The sequence below is a fragment of the Homo sapiens genome, chromosome 3 (genome assembly GCF_000001405.40).
Source record: "Homo sapiens chromosome 3, GRCh38.p14 Primary Assembly".
Lineage (NCBI taxonomy): Eukaryota > Metazoa > Chordata > Mammalia > Primates > Hominidae > Homo > Homo sapiens.
In genome coordinates this window covers 124,574,182-124,586,606 of record NC_000003.12, presented here as the reverse complement: position 1 = coordinate 124,586,606, position 12,425 = coordinate 124,574,182, and the positions used below count along the sequence as shown (strand labels likewise).

General features: G+C 46.9%; 1 protein-coding gene and 1 long non-coding RNA gene across 37 annotated transcripts in view, besides 2 other annotated features; one reads left to right on the top strand and one right to left on the bottom strand.

Annotated features, from left to right (window-relative positions):
- KALRN (kalirin RhoGEF kinase) overlaps positions 1–12,425 on the bottom strand; it is a 692,957-nt gene that overhangs the window by 139,719 nt on the left and 540,813 nt on the right. For 10 of the 34 annotated variants that reach the window (NM_007064.5, NM_001322993.2, NM_001322995.2 and 7 more), the window contains exon 1: positions 1,701–1,949. The exons of the other annotated variants lie outside the window; for them this stretch is intronic. In NM_007064.5, the coding sequence (NP_008995.2) occupies positions 1,701–1,785 (85 nt within the window). In that variant the 5' untranslated portion in view covers positions 1,786–1,949. Of the gene's footprint in view, positions 1–1,700; positions 1,950–12,425 lie in introns of those variants that run through there. 34 annotated transcript variants of the gene reach the window in all.
- Positions 1,645–1,824: a silencer, noted in NCBI's record as "silent region_14653". NCBI's record gives its function as "represses an Ori minimal core promoter by ATAC-STARR-seq in GM12878 lymphoblastoid cells {active_cell/tissue: GM12878}" and the evidence as "EXISTENCE:reporter gene assay evidence [ECO:0000049][PMID:35858748]".
- The window catches only part of LOC105374076 (uncharacterized), a 39,318-nt gene continuing 28,940 nt past the window's right edge, over positions 2,048–12,425 (top strand). For all 3 annotated transcript variants that reach the window (XR_001740872.2, XR_007096040.1, XR_007096041.1), the window contains exons 1-2: positions 2,048–2,133; positions 9,844–9,943. This is a non-coding gene — a long non-coding RNA (uncharacterized LOC105374076). The remainder of the gene's footprint in view (positions 2,134–9,843; positions 9,944–12,425) is intronic.
- Positions 8,619–8,908: an enhancer, noted in NCBI's record as "active region_20396". NCBI's record gives its function as "activates an Ori minimal core promoter by ATAC-STARR-seq in GM12878 lymphoblastoid cells {active_cell/tissue: GM12878}" and the evidence as "EXISTENCE:reporter gene assay evidence [ECO:0000049][PMID:35858748]".

Genomic DNA, 12,425 nt, shown 5'->3' with positions numbered 1-12,425 from the left:
CGGAGCCAGCAGCCACTGCCTTCACAGGCCCTAGGCAGGAGGCACTTACCAGGCCCTGGAGCCAGCTCCCCAGCCCTCCCCTGCATCACAGCGAGAGTGAAAGTCGGGCAATTCCTCAACAAAGCAAGGGCCAGCAAGACGCCCAGAGAGTTACCCTGAAGGGCAGCCAGGGCTGTCACACATCTGGACTCAAGGAGGCAGCTGTGGGGACTTCAGATAAGCACCACCCCAGCCCCCACATTCTGTCTGACAGGAAACGGACTCCCAAGAAATCCTGCAGAGAAACTCTTTGCGGGGAAAGCAGGGCAGCCTTCGAGCGAACCCACCCACTCAGATTCCCCTTGGCCATTTCCTGCTTCCTCCGCGCTTTATTCCCCCTTTCCCTCAATTCCCAGCCTTGGTTTTGAATGTTTCTGAATCAGACTTAGAGGGTCCCTGGCCCCTCACATTCCTTCTTCATCTGAATTCTGGTTTCTAGAGCTCAAAACCACACGGTTCCAGGCTGCTCTAATTAAATACAGAGATTGAGACCATCTGATGCTAAGATTATGACCTTAATGACGCGCAGGAAAAGTCATTCAGATTTAATTAGTTTTGGTAACCTTATATCTGCTCAGGATAGAAAATTTCTCAGGGCTATGTTGTGTGTTTGTGGCACAGAGGATGCTGAAAGGTGGCTTGGATGAAGTTTATTCACCAGTAACTCAGCCAGAAAGTTCCATTAGGATTTTGCATAGCAGATGGGATGGGAGACTGGGTGGGGTATTGTAAATGGGGGTGGAGGCCAGAGGCCCAAAAGGTGAAACTTTTTAAAAGGGCAAATGTCAAGTAGGGGGCTACATTCTCATTTCTACCCACACAAAAACAGTCTTCCCCCGCTATCCTAGCGTGTGTTAAAGTGACATGAACAGCCTTAGGAGCATCTGCTTATCCTATTTGGGAAGGTTCTGATTTTTTTTTTCAGAAGAAGCCACACAATTGAGAACCCTCCCTCTGTGATCCTTCTCGCCCTCCTGTTCGCCGGCTGCTTTGGGGGAAATTGGTTGCTTCCTGCAAGTCTCTTCCACGACGTTAAGATTAGCAGAATAATTAAATACAGTCCTAACTGGGCACAGAGAGAGTTGTTAATTAATGAGCCAAGCTCCGGCCCGGAGCTACAAATCCACGCTGGCCTGTGAAAACCCAGGCAGAAAAAAATGTGCTCCAGTCCCACGAGAAAATTGTCACTTGGCAAAAATAGTTCCTGGTGTACAGACAGGTGTCAAACACATTCCTGTAGCCAGGAGTCACACGTTAATCCCGCAGCTGAGATCCATGTGTAAATGAGAGGTGAGGTACTTCTCCGCCACTATAGGGACACACGCGGCTCTGCGTCCCCTTCCCACCCCCGCGTCCGCATCCCACTCCCTAGCAGGCTGGCGCCCTGACATCCAAAGTCGCTGCTAGGTGACTGAGTTCCCAAACAGCAGCTCCGCATCCAAGTCAGAACCTCACCGCCAGCCAGCGAGCGCGCGCGTTCTGTCTGGGAAACTGTGAAACGGATCGCAGCAAACTCTCTCACTTCGCCGCCCTCCTGATCCCCAGCCCCATCCGCCTACCCCAGAGGCCTCCCCAACCCTTCCCTCCCTACCACCCTCCCTCGCGCTGAGCGCGACCAGTCTGGCTAACAGAAGGCACCAAGGCCGCCGACAGCCACTCACCTCTACACGGGAAGCAACAGCAGCACTTAGCAAAGAGCCACCCCAAAGAGGGACCTCGGGTGTAAGCCCTGTCGCCGCCCTTCATGTTGCCCCGCCGCCCCAGCGCTCCCGCATGGCACGGGGCGCCAGCCCGGGGTGAGAGCGCGGCGGGAAGGAAACTTCAGCGCCGCCGCCCGAGAGCCGGCTCCCGCCCTCCCCGCTGTGCTCTCCCCGCACCGCGGCCGCAGCTCTGACTTACTGGGAGCCACTGCCACCTTGGGAAGCGGGGAGGGGCCAGGCGGGGAGGGAGGGCCTAAGGGGCGGAGTTCCAAGGTCCAGCTGTGGGCAGGAGACCTGGCCAGCAGCGGCCGGAGCCTCATGTAACGCTGCCTGTGGCACCAACGCTGTGGGCACGGGGCAAACGGGTGGAGTTTGAGCCCTTGGCACCAAACAGGTAGGTACTCCTTATGTGCAACTTCCTCCCTTCAAAGGCCACCACAATGGGCGTTGGCTTAAAAAATACAACTAGATGGGGCCAAAGAGGTAAGAGAGGGGCAGACTTAGATGCTCCAAGACTCAAGGATGCCCTTTTCTTCCTCGCAGCCTCACCCGTTCCCTCCCCACAGCCTCCTCTGTATTGAAAACACCGTCCCCAACCCTTTCCTTTCCTTCCGTGTAATGCTGATTACTAATAATGATAACAGTGCCTCATATTGATCAGCTCTCCAACTGTAATGACGTGAAAACACACTCTGGGTTTGGAATCATACAACCAACCTTCAAAGCTCAGTTTTGCCACCTGCTAGCTGTTTGAACTTAGGCAAGTCACTTCACCTTTTATCTTCAGTTTCCCCATTTAAAAAAAAAATGTAAAAGAATTCCTATATTCCACGGTTGTAGATTTTCTTTAAAAAATTTTCTTTAATAGAGGCAGGGTCTCGGGTCTTGCTATGTTGCCCCAGCTAGTCTTGAACTCCTGGGCTCAAGTGATCCTCCTGCCTTAGCCTCCCAAAACATTAGGATTAGAGATGTGAGCCACCACATACAGCCGATGGTAGAATTTAAAAATATCTATGGATGTCTCCCAGAGTTGCTGATTTAGTAGGTAGGAGGTGGGGCCCGAGAATTTGCATTGCTACAAGTTCCCAGGTGATGCTGATGTTGGTATAGGACCACACTGAGACCTACTTGAGATTCAGACTTTTTCCTTGCCTATTTGGCAACTGTCCCCTTTTCTTTTTGTAACAGCCCCTTGACTTGTCTTTGAGGAACCAGTCCTCCTCCCTTCTCAGGCCATGTTTCTGGGCTAACATCCTGTTACAGAGGTGAAGTTTAATATTTCCAGGTGAATGAATGCCTACAGAGAAACTTCGAACATCTTACTTACGGTGCAAGACTTCCATTCACCATCCCCTCGGCCCAATATGCCCAGTAGACCTATCATTCCTTTACTTATATCCCTATCCCTATCTTTTAAATCTTTTTCATGTTTCAAGGCCAAGCTTGCTTTCCACAACCCCCTTGAAGCCCACTTGGACCACATCAGTGGGACCTTTCCATGAACCACTGTATTACTCACAGGGTGTCTCTCCCATTCCTTTGTGTCCAGCTTTAGGGCAAAGGGCCTGCTGGAAACACACAACACTCATAAAGAGGGCCCATTCATCAGAAAAAAGGGAAGTTTGTGGGAGGAATGAAAAACAGAAGCTTGATCACCCAGGTAACCAATGCCTTCCTGGAAGAAACACACTCATGGGACAAGGCTTTTAAAAGTTACCAGGATTTGGGGCTTCCTTTCCCAGTTGGAACCATGCTTAGATTTGTGCTTTATTTATCTATGTGACAGCCAGGCATGGTTGCTCATGCCTGTAATCCCAGCACTTTGAGAGGCCAAGGCAGATCACTTGAGCCCAGGAGTTCAAGACCAGCCTGAACGATGCAGGGAGGCCCTGTCTCTACAAATAATAAAAATAAATGAATAAGTACATAAATGAGCGGTGCTTGGTGGACCATACCTGTGGTCCCAGTTACTTGGCAGGCTGAGGTGGAAGGATCACTTGAGCCTGGGGATGTCAAGCCTGCAGTGACTCATGATTGTGCTGCTGCACTCCAGCCTGGGCAACAGAGTGAGACCCCATCCCCCCCAGCTCAACCCCCCCAAAAAAAATGTGCCAAGGCATCTGCCACATGGTTGGGATACCAGTAAATGATCGAAGCATGACCTAATGAGTAATAATAGCTTACATTTATTGAGCATTTATATGCTAAGCAGTTTCCTCCATGTTCTCCATATACTATCTCATTTATCCTCATAAAAAAACCTTGTAAAGTAGTGTCCTGTTTTACCTTTGAAGAAACTGAATTAATAAACTATGATGAGGCTTTAATGGTTTAATTCTAAAGAAAAGCTCTAAAAAGCTTCACCCCTTTGGAACAGTAGAACATAAAGTCAAAAATCTACCCTCTAGTTCTGCTACTGCCATCTCCCTGATGGTTTCTCTTGGCAAGGTTTACATAAGAACGTCACTGTCAAGCAGGAAATGAATCTCTGGTGCTCTTTCTAACACATACAAAAACAGAGAAATTACAGTTCAAATTGCTCATGTTGGCTGGGCGCAGTGGCTCACGCTTGTAATCCCAGCACTTTGGGAGGCCAAGGTGGGCGGATCACCTGAGGTCAGGACTTCAAGACTAGCCTGGCCAACATGGTGAAACCCCATCTCTACTAAAAATACAAAAATTAACTGGGCATGGTGATGCATGTCTGTAATCCCCACTATTCGGGAGGCTGAGGCAGGAGAATTGCTTGAACCCGGAAGGCGGAGGTTGCAGTGAGCGGAGATCGCACCATTGCACTCCAGCCTGGGCAACAGAGTGAGACTCTGTCTCAAAAAAAAAAAAAAAAAAAATAGCTCATGTTGTCTGCACCCAAGATTCCTGATTCACTGACCATCCTGATAATTGGTCAGTCTCATTTTGCCAGACTGAATTACTGCAGGATCCTTAATCCTCACATAGTTATCCTGGGTTCCAGTTCTGACCCACAACAACCAGCACTATTATTTAGTTCTCTCTTCCATGTCACCAAAGACAATACCTATTTTGTTTTTCTTGCAAGCCCAGACCAAAACTGTCTGTAAAAATTAACTTTATTTGCTTGTGATCCATAGTATGGATGCTATGGTCCAAGGTTCAATATTTGGTTTACCCACCCAATCCCTCTCTTTTTACACTTTGGGGGCATTATGATGGGAATTCAAAGATGCTTCAAAATTTCATGGGGAATAACCAGTTTGTTTTTTACTCAAATCTTCCCTCTTGGTTTTTGTGTTCAGATAACACTGGATCACTTTTTTGTCACAATTCTTTGCAAGAGACTAATGACATCTCATCCTGCTGAAACTGGCTTGAGTTACATGTTTGAGAAAGACCCAACTCTTACTTTAGAAATCAAATACCAGTAGACCCTAAAGTAGTCCACTATAGGCAAAATGGATCCACTGGGCATGTTTCCACCGATACTTTTTTTTTTTTTTGAGCAGAGTCTCACTCTGTCACCCAGGCTAGAGCGCAGTGGCACGATCTCGGCTCACTGCAACCTCTGCCTCCCGGGTTCAAGCAATTCTCCTGCATCAGCCTCTGGAGTAGCTGGGAATACAGACGTGCACCACCATGCACATCTAAGTTTTGGGATTACAGGCGTGAGCCACCATACCCAGCCTCTACTAATTCTTATAACCCAGGAATTCATCCTACTCTCAATTTAAAGGCATAAAACCATTAGGAACCTCTTCCTATCTTAAGTTGGCAAGGTCAACACATTTTTGGCCATCATGGAGATTCATTCTAGGGTTAGACACCAATAACCCAAGAGTCCCATTGCCATCCTTACATGCCTTCCAGAATGAGACTAGCCAATGTCTATAACCTAACAAGGAAATCCTTTCCTTTCCTTTATTATTATTATTATTATTATTATTTTAATAGAGACAGGGTTTTGCCATGTTCCCTGGGCTGGTCTTGAACTCCTGGGCTCAAGCGATCTGCCCCCCTCGGCCTCCCAAAGTGCTGGGATTACAGGTGTGAGCCACCACACCTGGCCATCAAGGAAATCTCAAACAACATGGGGACACTAACTGTTTGTGGACCTACTCGTTAATTCATCAAATACTTACTGAGTGCCTACTCTGTGTCAGGCTCTGTTCTAGGTACTGGGTCTACATTGGTGAACAAAAACAATTTCAGTCCTTCTGAAGCTAGCTACTAGGACAGACTCATCATGAATGTGAGAGAAAAGTGAATCCACATCAGATATGTGACCAGGTTTATTAGTTGAGAGGGTTAATAGATGCCTAGATTCTCCAGCCTGCATCCAGATGTTTTAAGTTAATATTCTCAAGACAATTTAGAAGGGATGGTGGAGAATATGATTTTAAAACATTGGTGCTGATAAGAATCAGGAGGGAAGCATTTAAAAATATTAGGCATTAGCATTTTTTAGGCTCTGAGGTGGAACCAAGTCTGAGGCCATTGCTGCCTGAGTCCCCCCTCCCCACCCACCCCCACACACACCCTGAGATTTAGATCAATTGACTTTGGGTGCAACTGGGCGCAAGTATTTTAAAAGTTCCCCAGGTGTCTGTAATACGCAGCATAGTTTGAAAACCACTGGTGCAGTGCGGTGGTTCTCAAACTCAAGTATACATCAGAATCACCTGGAGGGTGTGTTAAAACACAGATTATTAGGCTCCATTCCCAGAGCTGCTGATTTAGTAGGTCTGGGGTGGGGCCTGAGAATTTGCATTGCTATGAGTTCCCAGGTGATGCTGATGTTGTTGGTACAGAAACACATGGAGACCTACTCGAGATTCGGACATTGTCCTTGCCCATTTGGCATTTGTGCCCTCTTCTTTTTGTAACAGCACCTTGACTTGTCTTTGAGGAACCAGCCTTCCTCCCTTTGGAGACCATGTTTCTGGGTGTGGCTGACATCTTCCCCTTGTCCACCCTCTACTCCAAAGATAAGCCCATGACCTGGGTGTGGCCAGGCAGCCACAGGGATTGGTTCAGATTTAGCACATGACTCGAGTTTATGCAATGAGCATAAACCTTGTGATCTTAGCAAGAACATCTGAGAAAACAGCCATCCCTTTCAACAAGATTTCTAAGTTGATGGAATGTTAGCCTAAAGCAGCTGGGGGTATTTTGCTATAACAATGTGGGAAGAAGCTCTCCGAGAATGAAGCCAATACAGGGAAAAGATGAGAGAGAGAGGTAGGTTTCCCATGATATCATTTGAATAGCTAGAGAGGCTTCTTCCTAAAGCTTTATTCCTGGACCTTACTTGTGCCCGCCCCTCGCTTATACATTCCTTTTTGTGTAAGCCAGTTGAATGTCTATTATTTCAGGGTTTTCACATACCTACCCACCCACTCCCAAAGTTCAGGCTAAAAGCTCCTGAGCTATAAGCAATATATTTAAAGTAGTCTTACTTTTCAACTAGATGGCTGAGTCTCATTTATATTTTTGGCAGACTTTGTCTTCAGTGATACCTGCAGCCTAAGTCCATTTTACATGAATAAGGCTTTCTGCCTACCTACGTGACCACTTTATGTCCCACCCTCATTTCCAACAACAGTGAACCCCAAAGAATTTCTGGTATCAGCCTGCAGATGTAGTAGGCCAGGTGTACCACAATGTCAGGCCTGACATCAGGCACCAGTGTGACTGCCTCTCCCTCCACATTAACCACAGTCTTCAGTAACACTGGACCATGACCTCAGGTACCTGTCTCTTACACTAACAGACATATGCCATTTTTTTTTCCTTTAGGGTTATTCTCTTCAGATGGACAGGAAAAGAATTTTACTAAATCACAATCATTTCCCCACATTTCTTAAAGCTCAGGATAGAGAAAGAAGGAACAGCAACCATGCCCCAATTCAGGCCTAGAGATTCATAGGAGACCCTTCTTACTGTGACCTTTTATAGAGCATAGGCTTGGTGAGCCGTGATCATGGTTCCTGGTGAGTGCAGAGGCCAGGCCCTGATCTCCTTAACTCCACTCCAACCATTCCCTTGCTCTCCTTTCCCCACAGGGGTGATTCTCACCTGTAGCACTCACCCCCATATTTGGATTCTATAGGTTTTTTTTTTTTTTTAAATGGAGTTTCACTCTGTCACCCAGGCTGGAGTGCAGGGGCACATCTTGGCTCACTGCAATCTCCACCTCCCAGGTTCAAGTGATTCTCCTGCCTCAGCCTCCCGAGTACCTGGGACTACAGGCAAGCGTCACCAAGCCCGGCCAATCTATGGGTTTTAAAAAGCTCTGCAGAGGATTTCAATGTGAAGTCATGGCTGAGAACCACGGACTTTAGGGCCCAAGGCCACTCACACTGTGGATGAGTTCCTGCATTGTAGAGTTTAGGAAACACTTGAACACAAATGGTTTTACTTTCTCAAACTCTGACAATCGGTCCCTTGACCCATTCTTCCACTGCCTGCCATGCTCCCTGGTTGCTAACTGCAGGTTCCTTAATTCTCATCTTCCCTGTGTAGATTTCTGATCTATGAACTGCCTGATTGCTGATATCGGGATGGCTAATCAATATTCCCAAATTACCAAGCCCTGGCCTCCATTTGTGGCTGTGGCCTAAACATCTAAGATTCTTTCCAAGTACTAATCATTTATTCAACAAATAATTGGTCTTGGAATATTTACTATTTGTAAGTCACTAAGCTAACCTATACATGGGAGTTTATAAGGAAAATGTAAATTAAATAAGGCCTGTTCCATGAGAAAAGACAAAGAAGAACAGGGTGAATTCTAGCAGAAGTTGGTTTAATTTTCTGTGGAAGAAAAAAGAAATGGAAACAGAATAGTACTGGACATAAGGTTGGGGTTTCTTCTTTATGTGAAAAAGAGGAATTGAGACAATAGTCATCAGTAACCAGAAACACTTCAATTAGAGAGAGGAGGTACAATGTGTACATTGCTTCTATATTTAATTTGAACTCCAAATATGGTGGGGGGTTTTGTTTGTTTGTTTGTTTGTTTGTTTTGTTTTGGAGGTAGGGTCTTGCTCTGTCATCCAGGCTGAAGTGCAGTGGCATAATCAGAGCTCACTGTAACCTCAAAATCATGGGCTCCCACCTCAGTCTCTCAAGTAGCTGGGACTACAGGCATGCATCACCACACCTGCCTATAGAGATGGGGTCTCACTACATTGCCCAGGCTGGTCTTGAACTCTTGGCCTCAAGCAATCATCCTACCTCAGCCTCCCAAAGTGCTGAGACTACAGGCATGACCCACTGTGTCCAGCCCAAATATGTTTTTTTTCAAAAGTGTATAATATCTGTGTGGGTAACCATTCCCAGGTAATATGCGTTATTTTAACAGTAAGGTGTACAGAAAAAGTGTGCTTGCCAGAATCACGCATAGTAATCTCTTCTCCTTCTTATCTCTGTTTAGTGTGGTCTAACCACTGCACCACTGCTGGCCCTGTGGGTACCATCATCCACTTGGTGACAGACAGCTCCTGGACTCTAATGACTGAACCATTACTGAGCTCAGTCCATATGTCTTCACCTACTGACCTTTAAATGTGTTCCTCTGTACTTGCCCAATTGACACCTGTTTGCCTCTTTCTAGCTGTCTCACTTATCCTTAAGAGAGGCCCCAGCTCAGCCTGCAGCCACCCTCTTTTTTTTTTTTCCAGGAAGTATTACTGATCACTGTCTTGTCTGAACCAGGTTCAAGGTAGGGGGGTGGTTCAGGCCATACTGAGAGGACACAGATGTCTCCCCAGAATGGCCAACATTCCTCTTCTGTGAGGACAGAGAGGAAGAACTGCTGGCAACAAGGACAGGTTCCTGGATATCTGTACTGAGCAGCCGCCTGAGCTGGCCTGAGCTCAGGGGCAGATGAGCTATTTATCAAAGTGAAAGATGGCTGCAGCTGGAATTGCTAAAAACAAACCACTCCAGGTTTTATCTACTTCCAAAAACGTTTACCTCTAAGTAGGTCAAAGTGTTCCCAAAGTAGGGCAGTATAAGAGTGCCAGTCTATCACTCTGAGTTTCAATTAAGGTAAACTTATGATTGCTAAGTGTCCACTATGTGGGATGGCATTTTAATTCTGCCAACGCCACCTTCCCTCCTACAGGCACAAATAGCAGCTGCAGCAGCATGTACATTCACGGAGTACAGTGCAGAGGTTTCTGATGAGTCAAATGGAAAGTGGATTTTGTCTTGATGTAACTCAGGTGAGTTTATTGAGGATTTCCAATAATAGAAAGGATGTACATCTGCCAATAATGGAATGTGGATAATGACCTGCTCATCCTTCAACCAGTCCAAATAAATGAGAGGTACTTAACCCATACGTCCCCAGAGAAGACTTCCTCAATCAGGACTCCTAGCATCAGAACATGATTCCCCATTCCCATCCTGAAGTCCTCCTGCTAAAGCTTAAGCCAGTTTCCTTTACCGTTCTACATGCTGAGCCTGGTCCTTCACATAAGAACTCTGCAGAGGTCCCTGATGCATGATCCGTCCCTCCTTTCTATAAATATTTACTGAGAACTTCTTACATGGCAGCTACTGTTTTAGATGCTGGGGATAGGGCAATGAACACAGTAGACAAAATCCCTGTATTGGTAGGGGGGATTTGCAGAGGAATATTAACAAATATGTCAGGTAGTGATAAATGCAATGAAGAAAAGTAAAACAGAGAAGGGAGTATACACTGTGATGGGAGAGGGTGGGAGTTAGGGAAGACCTCTCTAATCAGGTGACATTCAAGCAGAAGGAAGTGTGACAGCAAGACATCCAAGTCTCTGAGGATCTGGGGTATCTGGTGTGTTCCAAGCAGAGGGAACAAAAGATCAGGCCCTGAGGTGAGCGTATGCATGGCTTGATTGGTAATGGCTCAGTGAGGCAGGCTGGTCAGGTGAATGGTAGACAGAATAACGTCCGCCAAAGATGTCCACATCCTCCTCTCCAGAACCTATAAATATGTTACCTTATATGGCAAAAGAGACTGTGCAAATGTGATTCTGTTAGGGACCTCGAGGCAAGGGGATTATGCTGGATCATTCTGGTGAGGACAGTGTAATGGTGGGTGTTCTTAAAAGCAGAGAACCTTTCCCACTGTGGCCCAGGGGAAACATTACCATGGAAGGAGGATCAGAAAGATGCAACATTGCTGGCTTTGAAGATGGAGAAAGTGTGGTGGTCTCTGGAAGCTGGAAGAGGCAAGAAATAGCTTTTCCCTAACAGCCTACAAAAAGGAATGTGGCCCTGATTGCTGAAACTGTGATTTTAGCCCATGGGGACTCATGTTGCATTTCCAACCCACAGAACTGTACGATAATGAGTTTGTGTTGTTGTTTGAAGCCACCATGTTCATGGTAATTTGTTACAGCAGCAACAGGAAATGAATACATAGGAGATGAAGTCAGAGAATAGGCTCCAGAACAGGTTTTGTGGAGCCTCTTTGCAGTCACAGAAAGGACTTCGTTTTACTGGAAATGAGACAGGAGACACTGGAACATTCTGAACTGAGATGGGTCTTCAGCCTGGGCCACCTCCCTGCAGCTGGGGGCAAGCAACGGGGCAATTATCTGTTCGCCCTCCTGTGTACAAAGGTGAGGAGCCAGACTTCCTGTGGCCTAGAGGCCCATGTGGAAAGTAAGGCAAGTGGGCACAATCTGAGAATCAAGATTCTGGCTGGGGTTAGTGGATACGGGGAGAAAACAAGACAACCCAGTCCTACCACAAGGGCAAAGAAAGGGGCAGGCTGTTCAGTAACTGCCCATAGGGCAGAGGGCTGGTATTCAGAATGGCAATTAGTAGTAAATGGAAAGACTTCTCATGCTTGTTTGCAGGGTTTGGGTTAAGGCTGCAGTTTCACCCCCACATAGATCCTCGGTGAGGAGTTGTTCTCAAGGAGCAAGTGAGACAGGGAAGGCAGTGTGGCGGTGAGAGGAGGGTGCTGACTGCTCTGTCCTGCAGAATCCTGTTGCTGAGAGCTCCTAGAGCTGTGGCCTGCAAGGGCTGCTCCTCAAGGCCTTTGAGGTCCTCCCATCTCTGCCCTTCCCTGAGCAGACAGGATGGGCACATCCCAAGATTGTCCAGACCATTGCCTTGCCTTCTCTTTTCCTCAAGTCACATTCAGTGCATGTCATTCCTGGGTCCCCGTGTTCTTCTAGGGGGAAAGTGTTCAGCTTAGCTAGCTGTAAGCAAGAAAACTGCACCATCTTTCCTCTGGGGGAACATTCTGTTTGCTGGGGTAACCTCCTCTCTATCATCTCCAGCTTCTTCTCAGAAAGCAGTCAGTGGCAGCCTTTCTTCTCTGGGATCAAATCCTGAGGCTCTCATTTTAGCTCTGAGCTCCATCAGCTGGTTCATTGGCTCCAAAGAGCATATTCAAGTTTGCCCCTGACTTCCCCTCTGGATGATAAGGGGCATCATCATCATGTAGATGTCACAGATTTACAGTGGGCACCAGCAGGCATGAAAACATGCTGTTGAAATTGGCATTTAACATAAGCAAAGTCACAGCAGGCTGGCTACAAAAGGGAAAAATGCAGGATCTCTGCAGAGGGACCCAGAGAGACCAGCTCTTTCCATGGACACCTGGGTCTTCCTGCTTCAGTTCTACTTGGAGACAGCACGACACTGAGTTGTATTTAGAGAAGGATGTGGCTTGCCCTGACATGTTCCTATTTGAGGCTTTGATTCTAA